Source organism: Homo sapiens, chromosome 21, assembly GCF_000001405.40.
Source record: "Homo sapiens chromosome 21, GRCh38.p14 Primary Assembly".
NCBI lineage: Eukaryota > Metazoa > Chordata > Mammalia > Primates > Hominidae > Homo > Homo sapiens.
The window spans coordinates 29074774-29099855 of record NC_000021.9 but is presented as its reverse complement, the minus strand read 5'-3'; the positions used below and the strand labels follow the sequence as shown (position 1 = coordinate 29099855).

The 25082-nt window shown below is 41.4% G+C and overlaps 1 protein-coding gene across 10 annotated transcripts in view, besides 2 other annotated features; it reads right to left on the bottom strand.

The window, feature by feature from the left end:
* The window catches only part of MAP3K7CL (MAP3K7 C-terminal like), a 98774-nt gene extending 76032 nt beyond the window's left edge, over nucleotides 1-22742 (bottom strand). For 4 of the 10 annotated variants that reach the window (NM_001286622.2, NM_001286617.2, NM_001286618.2 and 1 more), the window contains exons 1-5: nucleotides 22143-22742; nucleotides 13939-14043; nucleotides 8280-8355; nucleotides 8095-8188; nucleotides 7275-7417 (exon numbers count right to left, since the gene is read on the bottom strand). Coding sequence is in view for 5 of the 10 variants with exons in the window: in NM_001286634.2 (NP_001273563.1) it covers nucleotides 7275-7417; nucleotides 8095-8188; nucleotides 8280-8355; nucleotides 13939-13995 (370 nt within the window). In the remaining 5 variants the exon portion in view is untranslated. Of the gene's footprint in view, nucleotides 1-7274; nucleotides 7603-8094; nucleotides 8189-8279; nucleotides 8356-13938; nucleotides 14044-14712; nucleotides 14785-19147; nucleotides 19305-20671 lie in introns of those variants that run through there. The other 6 variants (NM_001371374.1, NM_001371369.1, NM_001286623.2 and 3 more) reach the window with 4 other exon arrangements.
* Nucleotides 20549-20688: an enhancer, noted in NCBI's record as "active region_18333". NCBI's record gives its function as "activates an Ori minimal core promoter by ATAC-STARR-seq in GM12878 lymphoblastoid cells {active_cell/tissue: GM12878}" and the evidence as "EXISTENCE:reporter gene assay evidence [ECO:0000049][PMID:35858748]".
* Nucleotides 23237-24436: an enhancer, noted in NCBI's record as "CDK7 strongly-dependent group 2 enhancer chr21:30447741-30448940 (GRCh37/hg19 assembly coordinates)". NCBI's record gives its function as "activates an origin of replication core promoter dependent on BRD2, BRD4, P300/CBP, MED14 and CDK7 cofactors, with strong dependence on CDK7, by STARR-seq in HCT116 cells {active_cell/tissue: HCT116}" and the evidence as "EXISTENCE:reporter gene assay evidence [ECO:0000049][PMID:35650434]".

The following is a 25082-nucleotide window of genomic DNA, read 5'->3' as shown; positions in this document are numbered from 1 at the left end:
CGCCTCGGCCTCCCAAAGTGCTGGGATTACAGGCGTGAGCCACTGCGCCCGGCCCCTTTTTTGTTTTTTTTAAATTAGTCTGTCACAGGAAGATAGAGATCTGTTTCTTAAGAGGAAAGGAAGAAGAGGTTTCTAACCTGCTCTGACCAACTGTTATGTTGCAATATCTTCACAGAGATCCTTCCAGCTGCAATAAAGATAATAAAAGGAATACAACATACTTTTGCTACAACTCAGTACACAGACTCTTAAATACAGTGAGGCTAGGCAGATGGAACATGTGGAACAAAGCAGGGGAAGGGCGTAATAACAACCATGATAACCATGGCTGTACTTATATATATTGAGATGTTTTATTTTATTATAATTTGTTGTTATTATACTGGCTTTTTGTGTGTGAGCTGTTTTGAATCTTTCAACTCCTTTAAATGCCTTCAAAAACTAGTATTTTAGCTGGGCGCAGTGGCTCATGCCTGTAATCTCAGCACTTTGGGAGACCAAGGCAGGAAAATGGCTTGAACCCGGAAGTTCAAGATCAGCTTGGGCAACATGGCAAGATCCCGTCTCTACAAAAAAAAAAAAAAAAAAAAAAAATCAATTAGCTGGGTACAGTGGTGTACACATGTAGTCCCAGCTACTTGGGAAGCTGGGGTGGGAGGATTGCTTGAGCCCAGAAAGTCAAAGCTGCCGTGAGCCATGATTACACCACTGAACTCCAGCCTGGGGGAAAGAGCAGGCCCTGTCTCAAAAAGAAAAGAAAAGAAAAGAAAGCTAGTATTTTAAACTGTGCCTCAGACCTAAAAATGAGTGAACCACTGCCCTAAACCGTGGAAGAGCAAGCCCAACTTGGTTGGGAGGAGACCCTTTCCATATGGGGTCAAAACTGTACCTGCCACTTTGGCATCTTTGAGAATTAAAAGAATAGAGACCTTCAACTTCACCCTGAGGGGACTGCTATACTCATAACTGAGGAGGCAAAGTCCAGATAAATGAGCAGATAAGGTAGAGAAAGATACAAAGAATTTCTCTCTTCCTCAAAAGGAAGAAGCCCAGTAACAAATCTCCTTCAGTGCTTAATAATGTTTGGCGAGGTAGTCTAGTAGAAAGCTTAGGACTTGGCTGTTTAAATCATCCATTCATTTCTTCAAAGGGTTTGCCACTTACTAGCTAGGTGAACACAAGCTAGTTATTTGCCCTCTCTGAGTCCTAATTTCCGCCTTTGCAAAAAGGAATTATAATACCTCCCTTTTCCTTTATTATTGTAAAGATTAAAGAAGATCGCTTCTTTGAAAGAACGGTGCACAGTGGCACAAGTAATGGAAATTCAGAAAATATTGTGTCCTTCTTTCACATTCCTTTTTTTCTCAAGAAATTTAAAACCAGTACGTGTTTTTTAAAAATCATTCCAGCTGCTCCATGGAGACCATATATAAATTGAAAGAATGGAAATAGAGGGGTGAGTCAGGAGACTATTGAAGTTGTCCAGATGGGAGATAAAAATGGCTCAGGCTCAGAGAGTAACAGTAGAAAAAAAGAGAAGTGGGTAGATTTGGGATGCATCTTAAACATAGAGTTGACAGTGCTTACTGTGGAGCACACGGAGAGAAAAATCCCTCTTAAAAATTTTATTTAGCTTATTTCATTCCAAAGAAAGGGAACTGACTTGCTGGTGCTGTGTAGACTGGTGCTCTCCAACAGAACTTTTTGTGATAATGGAAATGTCCTAGATGGTTATTGTCCAGTATGGTAGACATGAGCCTCATGTGCCTCTTGGCACTTGAAGTATGGCTAGCATGACCAAGAAACTAAATTTTTTATTTTATTTAATTATAATTAATTCAAAGTTATATAGCTATCATATTAGCGCAAATCTAGGTAATATACAACCTAGATTTTTTCCCTATAATTCCTTCAAATTATACAGACACAACAGTTTATAGAATGTACAGTTTGTCCCCACACACATTTTTTATGATGTTGTCCAACCTTAACTGTTCAACCAGTTTATGTTAATTGAGCTAAAATCTGGGTGCGGGGGGTAGAAATCAACATTCTTTCTACTTCTATTAATCCCAATATTATAACATTAGTCAGTAAGCCATTTCTGACCAATTAAAAACATCATATAAATTATATCTTTGCATGTTTTCATTATGTTGCTCCTTGGCTTAATTTATGTGAAATCAATTGCTATGATAACTACATATCGTGTTATTTGACCATAATGTCTACAGAAGAAATGACTAATAAAAAAAAAACTTGTAAGGGAGACTATGTAGCAAATCTGACTATCTATTGGCCTAAGAACTGAAGTAATCATTACACCTTAAATATTTAAAAGGTATATCAAGGTTGACGTAAGGGGAATTGCAGTGGCAATAATAAAATTTAAAATAAATTTTAATTTTGTTCTACCTCCTATGTTTTATGAACAATAGTAATATTTTTTATTTATAAGAGCGTTTTTCTCTTTTCTTCCCCTCTCTTCTTATTTTTCTTTGGATAATAAGTTCTAAATATCTATCTACTACCCTATAGCTTATAGACACTTCAGTTTCTTCAAAACTAAACTTACCATCTATGCTGCAGTTAGGAAAAACCATGCTTACCATAGTATGCATACTCCCTCCAAATTCCTACTAGATACTCTGAGTGAATATTTTTGGGTTCTGTCTGCCCAGTATTATGTGTCCCTCTTTTCCTGATAACTGCAACTCCTTTCCCACTAAGGTAGTATCCCTTACCCCTACTTGTGATTTTGGTGGGACAGCCAATCACAATACTCCTCTCATCCCCCAGCCACAATCGTTAGCCTAGGATTAAAAATGGTGCTCTTCCAAGTTCCTATCAGAGTTCTTAGCCGAGATTTTAAACGCGTTCTGAAAGAAAGGTGACCTCCTTTTTCTTTTCAGTTGCTAAACTGGGTTGCTGTAAACCTTGAACTACCTGTAATCATACTCTGTCATTTCCCAACCATATGAAGGAAGCGCTCCTGAAATGGGGAAGAATAAGAGCAGCACATGGAGGGAAGTAGAAGAGAGGAAGAGAGCAAAGAGATAGATCGGATGATTTCATTTCTCTGCCTGAGGCCAGCTCTACCCAACGGACTTCCCAGTTCAGTAAACCAACAATTTCTCTTTTATACATAAGCTTCTATGAGTTGGCTTCTGGCACCTGTAATCAAATGTGTCCTGTTGAATATAGTGCCTCTCCAAACTCATAGCCATGCTCCCTTTCACTCTCTGTGCTCAACCATACTTGAACACAATCTGGTCACTGTGCTCTTTCATCCCTGGGCCTTGGAATATATCATCCCTCTGCCTGGAGCCATTGCCTTCAGATCTCAGCTTAAACATCATTGTCTTAAGGAGGTCCTACCTGACTTTTAGATGTAGGTCATTCACCTGCTATAAACTCTTTGTGCACTTTGTGCTTTCCCTATCATCAACCTCACCCTAGTTATTATTATTATTGCCTCTTTGATGTTTCTCTTTACCACTAGACTCTGAGCTTTGTGAGATCAGGGAACTGCATCTGTCTTATTCACTGATATATTCCCCAGCACCTAGAATAGTGCTTGGCCCAAAGTACGCACCTAAGGTATATTTTGAATGAACAAGTAAACGAATGGTGTTTTCTATGTGTATTGTCAATATATTTTCAAAACTTAGTGTACATTTTCAACCCTACTTCCTAGTAGAACTAAGCTGGTAGACACTAAATTTCCTAAGATCCCACAGCTCAGAAGGCCAATTACCAGGCTGAAAATGTGACTTTCAACTCCTAATCCAGCCTACTTCTCACTATAAACACCTACTTCTAAAAACATTTTTTCATGCAGAAAATCAATAATAAGCTTCTGAGCTGCAGCCCAGAGTTAAATACCACTGTTTCAAAATCACCTCATGTTTCCTCTTAAACAGCTGATACTATCAAGTGGCACTGCCCTAATTGTTTTGTGTTTCTCTGTGTATTAATTCTAATTCTTTAAATGAAATTGTTAATTCCTTGACACTTTAGTCTTGCTACTCAAAGTGTGGTCCCTGGACCAGTAAAACCAATATCCCTCCAGGAGCTTTTCAGATATGCAGAATCTCAAGCCCCATCCCAGAACCTACAGAATTAGAAACATTTTAACAAGATCCCCAGATATTACCATGTACAGTTCTCAACCACTGCTCTGGAATAGTTGGTCACAGCAGATGTTTTTGTGCTACAACATTTGTATTCACAGCACATAAGTTGGGAGACCACAGGTGAAGGAAAATACTTAATACTGGCTTTTGAGGAATCAGATGTTGAGGTGGTCAATTAATTCAATGAGCCAAACTGAGAGTAACAATCAGGTCTTTATTCTCTTCTACAACAGTGCGGGCAAGAGGCAAAAGAGGACGGCTCCAGCTCCCCCACATTCCCCTTATCCCCCTGGAACAGCTCTAGGTGAGGATCAGATGACATGCAGAACAGGCAAGAAAAATGAGCCCCTGCCCCACACAAAAGGCTCCTGCCTCTTTATAGCCCACAGGCTGGGAAACGGGAAAGGGCTAGGAGTAGAAAGGCGTGGAGTCAAAGTGGAGGAAAGTGCCTCAGCCAAGGCCCCCAACAGACAGCCTCTGAATAGAGACACCTGGGCTAGGCATACAGACACGCATACATGTGGGTGCAGGGGTGTGGGGGTGGGGTGGTGGAACAGAATCTCTTTTTTTTTTTTTTTAAATGAATGAGCCTAACCTTCCCTTCCCCTCCCCTCCCCTCTCCTCTGCTCCCTTCCCCTCCCCTTCCCTTTCCTTTCATTTCTGAGACAGGATCTGGCTCTATCACCCAGGCTGGAGTGCAGTGGTGCAATCTCAGCTCACTGCAACCTCCGCCTCCCAGGCTCAAACCATCCTCCCACATCAGCCTCCAAGTAGCTGGGACTGCAGGTGCATGCCACCATGCCCGGCTAATTTTTTTGTATTTTTGGTAGAGATGGGGTTTTGCCATATTGCCCAGGCTGGTCTTGAACTCCTGGGCTCAAGCAATGCTCCTGCCTCGGCCTCTCAAAGTGCTGGGATTACAGGTGTGAGAAGAAAGATACCCGCATGAATCCTTGACTGCAACTCCCTAGAGGAAACCGTAAGGCACTGGCTGTGCACCGAGTCTGGTATGGGAAGGGCAGCTTCTTCCTTCCATGGAGCTTGCCTTGTCATTATCTCAAATCACACACAGATCACACAAAGGATTTTGGCCTAGAGTCAAACTTCTCAACTAGTTGATACAAATTTTGCACCATTTAATAAGATACTACTTTGCTCAGTAGGCTAAGCAAAGTAGTCTATCAAAGCGACCCATGCATAGTGAAGGATTTCTCTCCAGAAATGGTTCTCAAAGAGCAATGTCTGGACCAGCAACATTAGCATCACCTGGGAACTTCCTAAAAATTCAAATACTTAGGCCCCACCCTAGACTTTCTGAATCAGAAAATGTTGGGATGGAGTCCAGCCATCTGTGTTTCGATACTTCCCCTGGGTGACTCTGACAGATGCTAACATTTGAGAACCCACTGCTGTCTAGCAGAGTTTCTCAAATTCAGCACTATGGACATTTGGGGCCAGATAATTGTTGTTGCGGGAAGCTGTTCTGTGGATTGTGGGATGTTTAGGCTAGCCTCTGGCCTCTAGCTACTAGATTCTTGTACCATATCCCTGGTTGTGACACCCCAAAATATCTCCAGCCATTGCCAAATATCCCCTGGGGGAAAAATTGCCCCCAGTTGAGAACCATTGCCCTAGAGTAATTACTATGACCTAGATTGGTCCAAGCCTAAAGCATAACATATAAACTTACAAAAATGATATTCACAGATACATGACAATGTGACATAAACTAACCTTTAAACAGTTTACAGTTTACAAAGCACTTTCACATATAAGTCATTTGCTCCCCACAGTAATCCTAGAAGGAGGGTAATTATCATCATTCTCATCTTAGTGGTAAGGAAATTGAGATTCATACAAGTTACTTGATATGACCAGGGTTACTGCCTGCTAAGTGGCAGAGATGGAACTTAAACCTAGGTCCTTCTCGGCCGGGCGCGGTGGCTCACGCCTGTAATCCCAGCACTTTGGGAGGCCGAGGCGGGTGGATCGCAAGGTCAGGAGGAGATTGAGACCATCCTGGCCAACACGGTGAAGCCCCATCTCTACTAAAAAAAAAAAATACAAAAAATTAGCCCGGCGTGGTGGCGGGTGCCGGCAGTCCCAGCTACTCGGGAGGCTGAGGCAGGGGAATGGCGTGAACCCAGGAGGCGGAGCTTGCAGTGAGCCGAGATCACGCCACTGCACTCCAGCCTGGGTGACAGAGCGAGACTCCATCTCAAAACAAAAACAAACAAACAAACAAACAAAAAAACCTAGGTCTTTCTTTTTCATAAATAAAGAGAATTACCTTATTAAATGAGCTATGGAGGGGTTATTTCTAGTCTTTAACAATATTATTGCTCTTGGTAAAAAATTCAGTATTAGCTGAGAAATAATAGTTGTAGAGATACTCTTAACAGATTATTCAGTATGAAAAATGGATTGTGCATCCATAATAAGGGAAGCCTATCTGTAGATATTTACACAAGTTATTATATGAGCTATTATTTGGAAATAGAAGTCTTATGATAGTCAGCTGGGTGCAGGGGCTTACGCCTGTAATCCCAGCACTTTGGGAGGACGAGGCGGGCGGATCACTTGAAGTCAGGAGTTTGAGTCTAGCCTGGCCAACATGGTGAAACCCCATCTCTACTAAAAATACAAAACTTAGCTGGGCATAGTGGTACATGCCTGTAATCCCAGCTACTCAGGAGGCTGAAGCAGGAGAATCGCTTGAACCCAGGAGGTGGAGGTGGCAGTGAGCTGAGATCGTGCCACTGCACTCCAGCCTGGGTGACAGAGAGAGACTCCTTCTCAAAAACAAAAACAAAAAAGTCATAGTGAGCCTGAGTCAGAGACGTTGGAGAGATTTGTAATCAGTTAAGAGGAGTAAAAAAACAGCACAGTCGAACAAACTCAGGAATAGTCTTTCTCCTGTAAACTGCAGCCCCTGCCTGGTGAGAAAGTGAAATCACAATCCTAGCACATTGACTGAAGGAGATAGAAGAACACCCAGCACGTCGTAGAGCCATTGTCCTGCTCTGACCCAGATCCCTGCAGAATGAGGTGCTGCCCAACCAGCCTTAGGCTCCCATGGTGCAGTGTGTAAAAAGCCTTCAGAACCTGAGACTTCCAGAAAGTGGACGGAATACTCACCCAGAGGGGAGCTGGGGATTTCCACGGGCACAGTAATAGACTTTGGCTTCAGAGTGAGCATCCAATCGCCAGTAGCCAACTTGCTGACCTTTGGATTGTCCTCCAACATGGCCAAACTTGTTGCAGAGCATAAAACTGAAATACTAAATAAAGATCAAGGCCAAATCAAAGTCATGATGAGACAAATGACCCCGCACAGACCTTTTGATGTCAGTTCTTTTTTTCCCTGAGAAGAAATTGAAACCTCTTGCCTCCTCTTTAGAGAGGGTTGTTAATGGTTTAAATCTGGAAAGGTTTCTCATCAGGGGAAAGAGCACTGGGCTTGGACTCAGAATCCTGGATTCCAGTCCTGGATGTTCAACAGAGAAACCACTCAGCCTCGCTCTGCCTCAGATTTTTCTTATAAAAACAAAGAGAGCTGATTATAAGAACTCTAGGATTTCTACCACTTCTAGAATTCTACCCTTTACCAACATCTTAAATTTGCATTTAATATACTCCCCACTTGGGAGACACCATGCATAAAATTACAGAAGGCAGGATTTGGAGTCATGCAGGCCCAGCTTGCAATCCCAGCTCTGCAGTATTCTAGCTGGATTATGTTAGACAACTCCCCTAGCCCTCCCCATGCTCAGTTTCTTCATCTTTAAAACAAAGGTGATAACAACAGTATCCAACTCAAAAGGACTTTTGTGAATATTAAATGGAATTATATGTATAAACAATTAATACATAGTACCTGGTACATAGGAAGCACTCAGCAGATGGGAGTTACTATCATGTATTTGAGAATGGACAGGCCAGGTGCAGTAGTTCATACCTGTAATCCAAGCACTTCAAGAAGCCAAAAGCAGGAGGACTGCTTGAAGCCAGGTGTTCAAGACCAACCTGGGCAAAATAGCGAGACTCCATCTCTATGAAAAAAAAAGAAAGAAAAACTTAGCTGGATGTGGTGGTGCACGCCTGTGGTCCCAGTTACTTGAGGGGCTGAGGTGGGACAATTACCTGGGCCCAGGAGGTCAGGGCTGTAGTGAGCCATGATTCCACCACTGCATTCCAGCCTGCGTGACAGAGCAAGGGGCTGTATTGAAAAAATAAAAAAGAAAAAAAGAAAAGAAAATGTACACTCAGGAAAATAAAATTGAAGGACTTTTATTAAGAGCTATACCTCATTTTGTGATGGAGGGAACTAGAGTGACTTAAAAATCAACTGGCTAAAAACATTCTATTTTTTAAAATCTCAAAACTGTAAACGACAGTCTCTTAGAGGGAACACAGGCCATCTCATGTTTCCTGCATGATTCAAATTGGTGGATAATTAGTCATAAAGATTTTCTGAGTAAACAGCACCATTTGGTAATACACTGTTTTCTGCTGGTTTGGTTAGGGATGGAGAAATTGTGAATGAAAAAGGAATGTATATAGATGTGTTGTCCAGTACAGTTGCCACTGGTACCATGTGGCTATTCACAGCTTAAAATGTGACCAGTTCAAGAGGAGAGGTGCTGTAAATGCAAAATTCACAGCAGATTTCAAAGATTTGGTACCAAAAAAAGTAAAATATTCAATAAAATGTTTATATTGACAAAATGTTGAAATGATAAAATTGGTAAGTTGGAGTAAATAAAATATTTTAAAATGAATTTTACCTCCTTTTTAGTTTTTTAATGTGACTATTAAGCAATTTTAAATTACATATATGGCTTGCATTATATTTCTATTGACCAATGCAGTATAGAGAGGAAAAATAAGAACACACATACACAAAGAGCAAGAAAAAAAACGAAGTCCCGGGGATGCAGCAATTTTAAAAAAAAAAAAAGTGAGGAAGGCCACAGGCTTGATGATCCTGGCTCCATGCAAAAAAAGTCACTAAAATTGATTTTTCTATTAACAAAGAAGCTGCCGGGCGCGGTGGCTCACACCTGTAATCCCAGCACTTTGGGAGGCCAAGGCAGGCGGATCACGAGGTCAGGAGATCAAGACCATCCTGGCTAACACAGTGAAACCCTGTCTCTACTAAAAATACAAAAAATTAGCCGGGCATGGTAGGGGTGCCTGTAGTCCCAGCTACTCGGGAGGCTGAGGCAGGAGAATGGCGTGAACCCAGGAGGCGGAGCTTGCAGTGAGCTGAGATTGCACCACTGCACTCCAGCCTGGGCGACAGAGTGAGCCTCTGTCTCAAAAAAAAAACAACAAAACAAAACAAAGAAGCTAATAGAGATTGCATTCCCTACGCCTTTTACGTATTTCATTTTGTAACATTTGGTAGAAGAAAGAAAAGAGAAGTTGTGCCTTCCTCACTTCTTTCATTGAATAATCTCTTTTAATCTTATAAAACATTGTGTCCTCTTTTGGTCATAAGTGGATGGAAAGACATAAAAATAAGGAAAGTGCACCCTCTGCAGGCTACTTAGCAATACAGAAATACTAAACAGCAAAGTTCTGTAAAAAATACTGCAGAATGAATAAATGAATGGATGAGTTAACATTTCACATTACTGCATCTACTGCTGTCATCACTGATTCAATAATGGTGAAAATAAAGGCAAGGAAATGGGTCGAATAGTATCAAAATTATTAGGTTATATCAATTCTTTCTTTTTTCCTTCCCTCCTGCCTTCTCTCCCTCCTTCCTGTCTTTCCTCCTTCTTTCTTATTCTCCTTACTCCCTTCCTTTCTCCTTTTTTCCCTTCCTCCCTCCCTCTCTTCCCTTCCTCCCTCCCTCTCATCCTTCCCTCCTTCCTGCTTCCCTCCCTTCCTCCCTTTCTTCCTTCCTTCCTTCCTCTTTTTTCTTGCTTTCACTCTTGAACAGCTTAGACACATCTTGTTTGGAAATCCTATATAAAGACAGAAGGCAAAAGGCCAAACTCAGCCTAGAGATTTATGCTGTTTATTTCAGTACAGTTTCCTTGTGAGGTTAATGCTTCATTCATGTTTCTAAATCCAATCTGGCAGACAAAGTAAAGAAATAATAAGGCCACAAACATCACCAGCCACAAGCTTAATGGTGTCAAGTATGTGATTATAAGCAGCCCCTAACTTAGGAAAGGGTTACCTTCCCAAAGGCAGTTTATATTTTGGTTGTTTGGAACGAGAAATCTTTTTCTCATTTTTTCTGGGCCAGTTCACAAGGGCACAAATACGTATTAACCCATAATGTATGTGAGATAGATAATAATAACATCATTATTTTTACTTTATCAAACACTAATATATAACAGTATTTTTATGGAAAAAGACAAATGTAAGGCCCATCTTGGGCTCTCAGATTATCCTTCTTTCTGCAGGTGGTGTGAGCAGTCTTCTCCCAGTTTCTTGATTCAGAGATGAGGGTTATGTCTGGGAGATCCATGCCAGACAACCCCAGGACCAGTGTCTTTTTTTTTTTTTTTTTTTTTTTTTTTTTTTTTGAGACGGAGTCTCGCTCTGTCACCAGGCTGGAGTATAGTGGTGCGATCTCGGCTCACTGCAACCTCTCCCTCCTGGGTACAAGTGATTCTCCTGCCTCAGCCTCCCAGGTAGCTGGGACTACAGGCATGCACCACCACATCTGGCTAATTTTTGTATTTTTAGTAGAGACGGGGTTTCACCATGTTGGCCAGGCTGGTCTTGAACTCCTGACCTAGTGATCTACCTACCTCGGCCTCCCAAAGTGCTGGGATTACAGGCATGAACCACCACGCCTGGCCAGTATCTTGTTAGCACTCTTTAGTGCAAAACAAGGAAGCTAACTCACAGGTACAGTCACACCCCAAGATTTCTGAACTGGAGAACAAAGAAAAATTAATATCATCATCAGAGAAAGCAGCGCCCAAATGGTAGACTCTCTCTGCTTTCTTCAACACACACACATGCACACACACTTTCCTGTGTCACCAACACTCATTTTATAGATTGGGCATCTGTAGGTTAAGACTGACTGTAATGATAACCAGGCTTCAATAGCTTTAAGAAATACAGCACTAGTGTTATGGAATATATTTCCTATTAGCATTTTTATTATTCACAGCGTAATTTAAGACCAATTTAATTCCTTTTAACCTATTAAACAAAACTAGCGTGGTTAAATTAAACTTTGCAGTGTGTAAAATAACTTAAGGAGAGCTTATGAAAGGGAATTTGGAATAACTCAGAAATTATATTTATTGCTTACACATAATTCAAAACAGTGCGAAAATGTAATGCAATCTGTAAACTTGTGTTTTTGTCAAACAGATTATATATTTTAAAATAAACACTTGCAGGAAAACACAACAAAAGGTGATAGCATTTATTATTTGCTTTTTCTTATGGTTACATTTAAACTTTTTAATCCAGAATATATACAACAGCCTAAATTGTGTGCCTATTAAAGCTTCACCTTTCATAGTTAAAATGCTGAAAAAAAATAAAAGCATCTATCTTGATCAGAGTTATGAGAACACAAGTGAAATGTTTTTCCAGCTCTGCTCTCTCTTGAGTGCAGAGACATACACTTTGGAGCTTTTGAGAAATATGGTCCCTATCTAATGCACAGTGGTTCAACGAAGAAGCTCTTACTCACTTAGTGAGTAGATTAAAATACAATCGTAATTTCCTCTTTGGGAAGCTAAGTGTAGTTTTAAGCTATAATCTTTATGTGATTCCAGGTGTGATGTACAGAAATCTCATAGTGTTGTATAGCATGATCATTAAGAAAATGAGCACGACCGGGCGCGGTGGCTCACACCTGTAATCCCAGCACTTTGGGAGGCCGAGGTGGGCGGATCACGAGGTCAGGAGATCGAGACCATCCTGGCTAACTCAGTGAAACCCCGTCTCTACTAAAAATACAAAAAATTAGCCGGTCGTGGTGGTGGGAGCCTGTGGTCCCAGCTACTCAGGAGGCTGAGGCAAGAGAATCGTTTGAACCCCGGAGGCGGAGCTTGCAGTGAGCGGAGATCGCGCCGCTGCACTTCAGCCTGGGAGACAGAACAAGACTCTGTCTCAAAAAAAAAAAAAAAAAAAAAAGAAAAAGAAAATGAGCATTAGATTTACAGTTAAATCCTGCATAAACCATTTAGGAGATATACGACCTAAGACATAGCTTAACCTCTCTGTTCTTTAGCTTCTTCATCCAAAAACTGAGGTTCATTCATTTATTGAACACTTAACATGTGCCAAGCACTGTTCTGAGAACTGGGAACATAATTAAAAAACATATTTGGTCCAAATTCTCAGGAAGATTACATCCAAATTGGCAGAGATAGAGAGTTTTTAAAATTAATTAATGTGAAAATGTTTAGGGAGTATTAGCTTTTAGGATAAAAATAAAATAGGGTGATGTAAAAGGAATATTGAGGAAGTTCCTGAAGACAGAGTTGTCAAGGAAACCCTCTCTGGGGAGACGAGATTTAATCTGGGACCTGAAGGAGGCATCAACCACACTAAGGTCTGGGAGAAGAGAGGTCCAGGCAGAAGGAAAAGCTGGTGAAAAAGTCCAGCAGAGAGAATGAGTGTGGCATGTCACAAGAACAAAAAGAAGGTAGTGTGGCTGGGGCAGAGCAAGTGGAAAAGACGCAGGACATGAAGTAGGCAGGAGCTAGATCATGCCACTCCTTAGAGGAACTGGTTTAGAGTTTGGTTTTTATTTTAAGTACAGTTCAAAGCCATTGGAGGACTTTCATCAGGATGGTCGTGAAGACTGAGATAACACGCATAAAGCACTCAGCACAATGTGCAGAGTGAATACTCAGGAAAGGGGGACGTCATCATAATCATTGTTGATATATGATAAAACCCTAACATACAATATGTGAAGTCCAAAATATTTATTACTTTAAAACTCAGGGTCAAGTTATTGCAAGATTAATGAAGAAAGAACAGGGCCTTAGCAGAGGATAGGAGTCTATTGCCAATCACCACCTGGCCAGATTCTCGTTACTGTGGGGCAGGCTTTACTATATTTCTTGCCATCATTATCATTCTCACCATCAGCTTTATTATCAATGAAACTTAAGTAAAATCTTAGGCCAGCACTGCTCATCACGGAAGTGAAATGTTGATCAGCCTAGAGCAAAATGAATCTGAAGGAGCAATACTCAATGCTGTGGTCACTATGAAATGACACCAACATTCCTTAATTTCCCCCAGAGCATCATCAGGTAAGCGGACTTTCTGTTTTCCAAGCTGGGTGGGAATCCTTCCACTCATTTTCCAGAGCTGGTGGGCAGCAAACACTTACGGGGCCATGAACCTCGAGAAGTTCATTTCAAGCTGGAACTCACATAGATGTGCCAATGATTTTTCCTGGCCACATTTTATCATCTGTGCCTGCTCTTTCTCTAAGAACACCATATAAAGCAGTCCTTACTCCACGGATCATTTAGTTTACTAAATCATGGTTTATTTTTTCCGCAGGATATCACATGCTATTTTAGAATCAGTTTTCAAAAGGTCTTAAATGACTTGGCTCAAAATTGGTTTTGTATTAAGGGAAAGAACCGGTGTCCCAGAGTTTCAATCAGCACCTTAACAAATAGTCTGCCGACCTCCCACAGATTGCCAACAGTAATGGTTAGCTGAGACTTCCAAGGTCCATTTCTCTCTGCTTCTTTCCTACATTTTTCCCACCCTGTTTTCACTGAAAACAGGATTATAGTCGACAGTTTTACAGGAAGGGGTTGGGGGAAGGCGGACATACCTTAAGATCTGCTGCCTCGTTCCACATAACTTCTAAAGGTGCAATCAGCTGAACCATCTAGTCGCTTTGCATGACAGTAATTTAACCACTCAAGTTGTCTTTCACCTGGGGGATATAGAGAGTTATGATTCTGCATCAAAGCCATCGCAACATTCCTTCAAACAACATACTAACCATGCCGTTGGCATTCAATTAATGTTAAATACAGTAACATTTCATTCACATACAATATTGGGGAGAACGAGGTTTTCTACATAAATGAATTTTGCAGACAAGCAAAGCTCACCCCAACAAGAACCAAAAGATATTAGTAAACTTTGAATCATTTTTGATAGAATTTAAATGCTTTTTTTTTTTTTTTTTTTTTTTTTTAGACAGAGTCTGGCTCTGTCACCCAGGCTGGAGTGCAGTGGCACGATCTCAGCTCACTGCAAGCTCCGCCTCCCGGGTTCACTCCATTCTCCTGCCTCAGCCTAAATGCACTTTTTATGTCCAATGACCACTTAAATAAGGTGCAGGGATCTTTATTTTGTTTATTCATAGCCAATGATCACTTTAAGCATAATACACGGCTACGTGCAATGCAATGGTTTCACCTAAAAGCCTCAATTATGTTTCTCAAGTTCTGGTGAGCAAGTCTCCTTGAAGCATGTCAAGCCCTTGTTGGTCTAGCTGTCACTTTTGCTACTACTGGCAGGTTTGACTGCTCTTGGCTTGCACATTCCCACCCCATTCTCATTTGCTCTGTGTGAGAAGATTATAAAACTTACGAACCTGAGCAGTATTACTTTACAACAATTCTCAGTCCAGAAGGACCCCGGTAAGGGCTTAAGGGTTATTCCACACCTCAAATGAGAGAAAATATGGGCTTAGAGACAGGCATTTTCCTTGCTGACTTTTTTTTTCCTTTGTGAATTTTTGGCAAAGTCTGAGAATCATCTTGAGATAAGTCACTGTGCATTATTACATTTCCCAAACATATTCTCTTCTACTTCTTGTTTCTCACTTGCATTTCCTAAATAAACTTTCTTACTCATCTCAGAAAGTTAATTTCTAATTGCGTTTAGACTATATTTGCCTAAGTTATCAAAAATCACTGTGTGATGATGTCAGGGAATGAAAAGATCTTTTGGAAGGATTTTTGGTAACCATTACCCTCCTTCTTCATTGAGATTCCTGATGTGATTTAACTTTCACCTCGATGGTGCATTTGGCATAGAGTCAGAGGAGTGAATATCTGGTAAGAAAGAAAATAGTCTAATCAAATAGCAATGAGAAAATGTAATTGCTCTAGCAGACTGCTACATAAATAGACACATAGATCCTCCCTTGATTTTATTCCCCTGAGGCTAATGACTGACCCTAATGAAAATCCCAGAGGAAATCATTGTAATAAAAATAGCCAAAACATTAAGAACAGGGCAAGTGAGAATGATGATGGCTGATAAGCATTTGAACCATCAAGCATCGTTACTAATCCAACTACAAAAATAAGTACTGGCTCATGGGCTAAGTACCTAAAAGAAATCAGGGACCATCTTACATGAATCAATTAGTGTGTAGACCTTAAGAAAAAATATTCTACAATGACCCTCTAGTTCCCATTATTGTTTTTAATAGAATCTATATATAGTAATGTAAGAAGGTCTCAAGATTGCTTTTTATGCTTTAGTGTTGTGCTACTTATGATGTGGTAGTGTTTCCAGTTTAAGCCACAAATTATAAATTCTTCCTTCTAAGTAAAAAACAAAATTATTCTAAAGTGAAATTGCTAATCCCTTTAATCAACCCCAAACCATCTGTGAATTCATAAACTAGCAATTTTGGAAAAAAAAATATATACATATTATACATGTATATATACATATAATATTATATATAATTATATTACATATATGTCATAAAATATATACATATACATGTGTGTATACATATGTTATATACAATTATATATATTATATATTATAATATTAAATGATTATTTCAGAATTAGTAAAACAGAGATATATATATTACATAAACAAGAGAGGTAATATTATATATATTACATACACACACACACACATATATACACACACACACACATCCCAGCTGATTCCATAAAGAACTTTATGTGGCTTACAAAAACAAATAAAATCACTAAGGATTTTTTTAAGTTGAGATAGTCTGAGCAAAAAAGAAAGAACAATCAGGAAAATAGTAAAACCAAATGTTAAGAGTGGTAGACAGAAATGTTGCACCAGAGCCCTGTAGAGTTGGTAGAGATGGGCTACACATTTGGCTCTAAGTTTCCAGCAGTTAAAGAGAGAAACAAAAACATTGGAAGATTCATAGCGGCCATAAAATATAAAAACCATGGTTGAATGCTGAGATAAATTTTTCCCACAGGTCATATAAAAAGGATACCATGCAATGAAATGATTGACATCCATCAAAAACAGGCATCGAGTAGAGATAACAGTCTATGATAGTTGGCCATTCCTTTTAATTTTCCTTATTATAAGACAATGGCATGATACCAAAATGCAATTTATCAAACTCAGTCCTCCAAAGGACTAAAACTTTAATGGTCTGGCTTCATCCGAGGGCAAAATTAATTATCTAAATGGGAATGTGCTGCACGGCATTGAGGGAATTTTGCTCAAACATAAATTTTTGCAATTAGGCATTTGATAAGGATTGGATAAGGAATGGTTAGAAATTATCTTCTCAAATTGGAGTCCAGGGGGCAGATTTCTGTGTAATAGAGTAAGGCCAAGAAAATTGAGGAATTGCCCAAGGCAAAACACCCAAGTACCTTTAGAAAGGACCAATATCATGCCCTCCAAATATTTCTGAATTCATTTCAAAATATAATTAAATGGGAAAGTAAGACACCAATGCTCTGTGACACGAAGAATGATGACACTAATGTTTAGCTAGAGTTTTTTCAATACAGATATTAATAGTCACCTGCTGTGGTGGCTCAAGAAAAAAAAAAAGCTCAGTGAAACATCAAAATGACACCTTAATTTAAGTAATATTGCTTTCTAGTGAATCCTGCAAGGTAAATTGATCCCAGTATTTTCTTAAGAAACTTGTTGAATGAAGTTGTTGAACACCAAGTAAATGAATGGTGGAAAACTCTTGCCAAAAGCAGGGACTGGGGTTTTAGAGTGGCCGTGGTAGATTGACTGCACTATTGTCCTCAACTTACGTGCCTCCATGTATCTACAGCCTTTGATACTGCCCTGCCACACTGATCCTGGGTGTGGCCACATAACCTACTTCAGCCAATGGGCTAGTAGCAAATTTAACAAGGTGCTTACACATTGCTGCTTGCTCCCTTGGCACCCTCTACTTTCATGAGAGCAAGCCCAGGTAACCTACTAGAGGCTGAGACCATGTGATGCACAGCTGAATTGTTCCAGCTGAGACCTCCAAGCCTGCCAACACTGTTCCCCAACCCCAAGCCCACCCACCAGCTGACTGCAGATACATAAACAATCCCTGCCTAATACAGTAAAGCTTGGTCAGATCAGCCAAACCACCCAACCAGTCCTAGGCATACAAAAAATTTAGAAATTTTTTGTGAGAAATTATTTTGTGAGAAATAAGAAGTAGCTGTTGTTTTAAGCCACTGAGATTTGGAGTGGTTTGTTACACAACAATCGCTAACTAATGCAGTGCCTGAACTTAAGCCATTTCTTTACATAATATTAGGAAATAGGACCAAGAGCTGCTAGAGTCATCTATGAACTTAATAATATTAGTAGAGAATACTTATTACTTTTACTCTCAGTGGAAAGAGGGACAGATTCAGTTAGCTCATCCAAAAGTAATATTATATTATAAAACAAAAAGAAACAAAGTAGTCAAAACATCCCTGTTTTATTCATTTTGAAATAACCATTTAACTTATCAAACCCAGGTCTTTGCACTGGTGTTAAGATGCAAATTCTACATAAGAATCAGGACTGGGTTCAATATTGTACGTAAGCAGGCTCGCCTACAACTGGTTCCTATGCACAGAATCAAATATTGAGTAAAGATCAATAAAAGCTGCAAACAATCTTATCTTGTTATTGAAAGATTTCTGCATAAAATATACAGAAGGAAAAGTAATTTGATGTGGAAGAAACTTGCCAAAAGCCTGCTTCTTGCATAAAACAATGGTCTGAGGAACCCAAACTTGCAATCTGTGGTGGGAAACTGGCTAAAATATAAAAAAGAATAACCAGTAAACTGATGAATTCATAATAAAAGAAAGAGTAAATTTACCTTTCTTTACAAAGGGAGACATGGGAAATATACTATATTTTGGTCCATCAGAACCAAGTTGGGAAGGCCAGATACTTACAGACCATAAACAATTTTTTTTTTTTTGAGACGGAGTCTCGCTCTGTCACCTGGGCTGGAGCGCAGTGGCGCGATCTCGGCTCACTGCCAACTCCGCCTCCCAGGCTCATGCCATTCTCCTGCCTCAGCCTCCCGAGTAGCTGGGACTACAGGCGCCTGCCACCATGCCCAGCTAATTTTTTTGTATTTTTTTTAGTAGAGACAGGGTTTCACCGTGTTAGCCAGGATGGTCTTGATCTCCTGACCTTGTGATCCACCTGCCTTGGCCTCCCAAAGTGCTGGGATTATAGGCGTGAGCCACCACGCCCGGCTGACCATAAACAATTTTAATAGCAGAAAACCTCCTCCAGGTAATTTATATAATTTGGCCTTTTTAATCAGCAAAACTATGAAATGAAATGTTCCCTGCATGTACTAAGGAGAGGAAATTTATCTCAAAATATAAGCCTGAGAAAAGAGGCCCTCTTGTATTTCTAGATACTGTGACTACTTCAACTTTCTTCGTCAGGTTTGTCTTAAAACCTTTCCTGATATTCAATTCTAACTGCCAAGTCTGGGCGAGCCACAATAATTAATTTTAAAAAGTAAAATATTTTTAAATCAAGAGTAAAAACTGGATTTGGTAAGATTCTGAATGACTTCTGAATTTCATTTCTGATGTGAGCTCACAAGCCTGGCCATGGCTGTTTTTAGCTTTGTAACAATCATAAACACAGGAATTATGTCATACAGCATGCAGGAAACAAAAACCACTCAAGCAGAAGGGCTTTAATACAGGAATCAGATCCTTCAAAAATTCTTGATGGGCTAGAGAAGCAAGCTCTAAAATGGGCTTCTGGGAATAGGTCCCAGATGTAACAGAATGACTCACCTTGGGGGCTACACTACGAATGATCAGCAAGGTGGGAGGAATCAAACAACGCCACTAGATGGACCGATATCAAGAACACACCACCAGGGCTTTGACCCAGAAAGCAGGAAGCCAGGATTACGAAGCTGTTGCCAGCCCCACGGCTGCCCTTGTACATCTGTAAGCACGGAGAGCAAGGTGTTATCTTTGGCAAAGAGGTGCCAAAAATGCATCATCTCATCACATTCCCTACACTAAGGTTACAAAAGACCCTGGCCCCTGGACACCCATGAGTGCATCAGGAATTCTGGTTTAAACCACGGCAGCCTTAGGGGCTTATGGCAGAAATGCCAAAACAGCATGAAAATAGGCTTTGTTTTCCTACCACCTTCCAATCCTCACATGAAAGTATCTAATTGGTGGAGGCTTATTTGTACCCACAGCCATAACTGCAACAGAATCCAAGAAACACAGTTTCTGCTTCCCAGCCTTGCAGTAGAAGACCCCATGTGTGCCAGTCTAGCACACTGATCAGGGGAACTATGACAGTAACTTCTATCTTTGCTGAAAGAGAGACTGATAAACACAGTTTTAGTTCATCAACAGTTGATTCATAAAGGCTCAAGAGAACCTTCTCTCTCAAGTCACCTGAAATAAAGATTTCATCTCTAGATATCTAAGGTATCACCAATAGGATTTAAATGCATCTCATTCCATTTCACCCTTCTCGTTCCCATTAATCTAACCAGCTCAATCACACCTAGGCACAAAAGACACCGGGACAACTAAACCAACATTTAAACTAAGAAAAGAATCAATCACTTTCATCCAGTTCAAGATCTTCCCTCTTAGAATGGTAATAAGCAGGGAGTGATTATAATACATTTCATTTCTTGTGACTTTGCCCTAACCTGGAGAGACTTTAAGGGAGCTACTCACTCCAGTACAGCCTCAAGTAGATTGATTGGACTATTCTTGAAACTCTGAATGTAGGCCACACACAGAGCCCACTTTGGAACAAAACAGCCACAGAGCATTCTCACACCAAGGTTACAGATGACTCACATGACCCTGGCCCTCGTTTGCCATTGAGTGCACCACCAATTCTTGCTTAGGCCAAAGCAGCCATGGAAACTTGTATTTTCTGAAAATTTAGCAGAACCTGGGGGCTTTTTGTGGCAAAGCAATAAACTGAACCAATCAGATGCTCCCTCTTGGGATGTTTGAATATGAAACACGTAGAGACCTTTCTGGGGGGAGTGGTGAGACAGTATGGGGAAGCTGAGAGACCCATAGAGAAAAGGAAGCAAGCCAAAGCTAAGAAAGAGCTTGGCATTTGGCCAAGACTCAGATTAGCATGGGCCTTTGCCTGCATGCCCTTTGTGGATACACCAGGGCAGAGCCACTTCCTTCCTGTCTCTTGGCACTGCTTCTCCTGTGGCCTGAGTCTTGGCCAAATGCCTTGTGATCCACCTGGAACACGAGAAGATGGAGACCTGCAAAGAGCTTCTCCAAGGCCATCTTCCTTTCACCTCCTGATCTCACCTGGGAAGCTGTCATGAAGCAGTTTCTCATCACCTCCAGTGTTCTGATGAGACGTGGGTCTTCCTGCTTCACCCTCTCTTAATAGAGTGGCAGAACACAAAACCACCGAGCTGCATTACCCAACTCGCATTGCAATCTCCAAGTCCCTTTGGTTTCAGTGTCATTCTTTTTGATGAGCAGAACAATGACCTCAAGGAGTTGGCACATTTGGCTAGTCTTCCTTTTGTCATCTATGTAATGAATAAACGGTCTGATTCTAAAAAAGTGTCCTTGCATCTTTACCAGTCGAATCAGTCAGGACTTTACCTTAGCCATGCCTTGTCTCATGTGTGCTTGACAGAAACTAAGTGGAGCTGTGGGACCAACATGGTAGTCGTAGGCCGAGTCTCCCCTCAACCTCATCCCCACTCCATAGATAAAAGGCAGAAGAGTGGGAGGGAGGTTTACAGGGAGATGAACAAAAGTAACAATTATATTGAGAGGAGAGTATTGTTTAGTCTTACTCTTTTGGTTACCCCCAGTTCTCGGCCTCTCAATCCACTCCTTCTGACCCACATTGGAAGTTACCTCACTGGTAAGGGATTGACATGGGGCTACCTTTCTTGATTGCATGGAGTTAACCCATTTAAAGTCTCTCCTTCTCTGATCAGTGCAAAGCAGCAATGATGCCCAGCATGCCTGTGCTTTCACCCTAAGCCACGTTCTCTGTAGTCCAGCGAGACTCTGAATTCCAGCCTCCTGACCCCTCTATTTTCTTGGTTGTTTCCAAACTCAGAAAGTGAATAAGGGTATAAATTATTGTGCCCTCTTAAGCCCAAATAAATTCGATTAAAAGAGAAAAAAATTTAAATTTATAAAGGAATATTAAAAGATTTTAACAACAACAAAAATATCCTGAAGCAAAATAATGAGCCAACACAAAATGAGTCAGACTCCAAAGCCAAACAAAAGAATTAAAATTCAACAGAAAAATACTGAAACATAAGATGATATAGTAACATGAAATAAACAATACAAATGGAGGCAGAAAAAGAAAAGTCAGGAGGTTAAGGATTTAATGGGAATTGGGAAAATTAAATAATAATACAAAAAAAATCAAAACACATAGACAAGCCAAAAACATTAAACAATTCTGACGTACAGGGGTTAAAACTTTAACACAAACAAAAAATGAAAAAAACAGAAACAAAGTAACTAGAAACAAATAGTGAACTGAGTCCTTATCAGAATCCTAAGATGGCTCAGACATCCCCAACCCCCAATCCTCACGGCTTTTAGCTCTCCTGGAGGCTGGAGGCCATGTTTTCAGGCAGCACCTAACATGAGGATCCCAGGCTTTTGAATCACTATAACAGAAACCTACAGTCTCCTTGGCGTTTTGCAAACTCTGCGCAAAAACCCTCTTGATTGCTTTGTGTTGTTCTCTGGTTTTACTTCACATACGTCTGGATGGTAAGAATAGAGACCATACCTCCCATGTCTTAATCTGTTTGGGCTGCTATTGAGAGGTGACAGCGTGCTGGCAGTCCTCACAGCCCTCCCTCGCTCTCGGCGCCTCCTCTGCCTGGGCTCCCACTTTGGCGGCACTTGAGGAGCCCTTCAGCCCACCACTGCGCTGTGGGAGCGCCTTCCTGGGCTGGCCGAGGCCGGAGCCGGCTCCCTCAGCTTGCGGGGAGGTGTGGAGGGAGAGGTGCGGGCAGGAACCGGGGCTGCGCGCGGTGCTTGCGGGCCAGCGTGAGTTCCGGGTGGGCGTGGGCCCCGCGGACCTCGCAACTCGGAGCCGCCTGCCGGCCCCACCGGCCCCGGGCAGTTGAGGGGCTTAGCACCTGGGCCAGCAGCTGCCGTGCTCAATTTCTCGCCTGGCCTTAGCTGTCTTCCTGCAGGGCAGGGCTAGGGACCTGCAGCCCGCCATGCCCGAGCCTCCGCGACGAGCGCCGCCCGCTGCTCCACAGCGCCCAGTCCCATCAACCACCCAAGGGCTGAGGAGTGTGGGCTCACGGCGGCGGACTGGCAAGCAGCTCCACCTGTAGCCCTAGTGCGTGATCCACTGGGTGAAGCCAGCTGGGCTCCTGAGTCTGGTGCGGACGTGGAGAACCTTTACGTCTAGCTAAGGGATTGTAAATACACCAATCGGCACTCTGTATCTAGCTCAAGGTTTGTAAACACATCAATCAGCACCCTGTGTCTAGCTCAGGGTTTGTGAATGCACCAATCGACACTCCGTATCTAGCTACTCTGGTGGAGACATGGAGAACCTGTGTGTCTAGCTCAGGGATTGTAAACACACCAATCAGCGCCCTGTCAAAACAGACCACTGGGCTCTACCAATCAGCAGGATGTGGGCGGGGCCAGATAAGAGAATGAAAGCAGGCTGCCAGAGCCAGCAGTGGCAACCCGATTGGGTCCCCTTCCACACTGTGGGAGCTTTTTTTTTCTTTGCAATAAATCCTGCTGCTGCTCACTCTTTGGGTCCTCACTGCCTTTATGAGCTGTAACACTCACTGCAAAGGTCTGCAGCTTCACTCCTGAAGCCAGCGAGACCACAAACCCACTGGGAGGAACAAACAACTCCAGACGTGCCTTAAGAGCTGTAACACTCACTGCGAAGGTTCGCAGCTTCACTCCTGAGCCAGCGAGACCACGAGCCTGCCAGAAGGAAGAAACTCCGAACACATCCGAATATCAGAAGGAACACACTCCGGACACGCCGCCTTTAAGAACTGTAACACTCACCACGAGGGTCCACGGCTTCATTCTTGAAGTCAGTCAGACCAAGAACCCACCAATTCCAGACACACTATAACAAAATACTACAAACTGGGTGGCTTAGAAACGGTAGAAATGTGTTACTCACAGTTCGTGAGGCTGGAAGTCCGAGATCAAGGTGCTAGCAGATACAGTGTCTGGTGAGGGCCTGCTTCCTGGTTCATAGATAGTACCTTCTAGCTGTGTCAGCACATGGTGGAAAGGCAAATAAGCTCCCCTGGGCCTCTTTCATAAGAGCGCTAATCTTTTATAAGGGTGGAGACCTAATGAACTAATCATCTCCCAAAAGGCCCTACGTAATACCATCACTTCAGGGCCTAAGATTTTAACATGAATTTTGGAGGGACACAAACATTGAGACCACAGCACCTTAATTCTTCGATCTCCTCTTCTGGATATCCATTTGGTCACCCAGTAGTTCATTTGATGATGATTTATTGACTCCTTACTCCGTGCATTGTCCAATTACAGTATAAGTGCTGGTGATTCACCACCTACCTGCTGGTGGAGAAAGATGACAAATAATTCTGTCATTACAACTGTGGTAAGTGCTATGAAGGAGAAACACAGAAGCTATGAGAATGACAAACAGGGAATGTCTTGGGAGTCATCAAAGACTTTCTAATGAAAGTGTCTGCATACTGAGGTAGAATTAATTCAGCCATAAGGGAATAGAAGAGCATTTTAGGTAGGAAGAACAGCAGAGGCAAAGACCCTGAGGCAGAAGTGGTAAAGCAGACAGCACGAACTATTCCAGGTACTGGGGCCAGAATACAAGACATTAATGCCAAATGGAGAAGATACCAGTGAGACAAGGACCAGAACCTAGGCCTCAAAGTCACTTTAAATATAGATTAATATATATTAATATGTTAATCAGGTGTCATTTTAGCTCCTTTCAGTTTTATTTCAATTTTATTTTGTGTTAGCTATTTTTATAAGTAATATTATCTCTGAGTCAGAGGAATGTGCTTTTGTTTATTTCTTAGCTAATCCAGGAAAAATCTTGGATTGTTCTGTTGTTCGGGACTGATCATTACAGTAGTTCTCTAACGTATCAGTCTCAGAACACCTTTAGACTCTTAAAAATTAACTTCCCCAAAGGTCTTTTGTTTATGTGGGTTATAGGTATGAATATTTGCTATATTAGAAATTAAAACTGATAAATTTTTAACGTTATTTAAAAAATAATAATCCTATCACATGATAATATGTATGTTTTTATTTAAAATATCTCTATTTTCCAAGAATGAAAAGGGTGGCTGTATTAGTCCGTTCTCGAATCGCTATAAAGAACTACCTGAGACTGGGTAATTTATAAAGAAAAGAGGTTTAATTGGCTCACAGTTCCACAGGCGGTACAGGAAGCATGGCTGGGGAAGCCTCAGGAAGCTGACAATCAAGGTGGAAGGTGAAGGGGAAGCAGACACATCCTACAAGGCTGGAGGAGGAGGAAGAGACAGAGTGGGGAGGTGCCACACACTTTTAAACAACCAGGTCTTATGAGAAGTCACTCACTATCACAAGAACAGCTGGGGATTATAATTCCACATCATATTTGGGCAGGCAATTCAAACATATCAGTGGCATTTACATTTTTGCAAAAATCCAAACCATATCAGTGGCATTTACATTTTTGCAATTT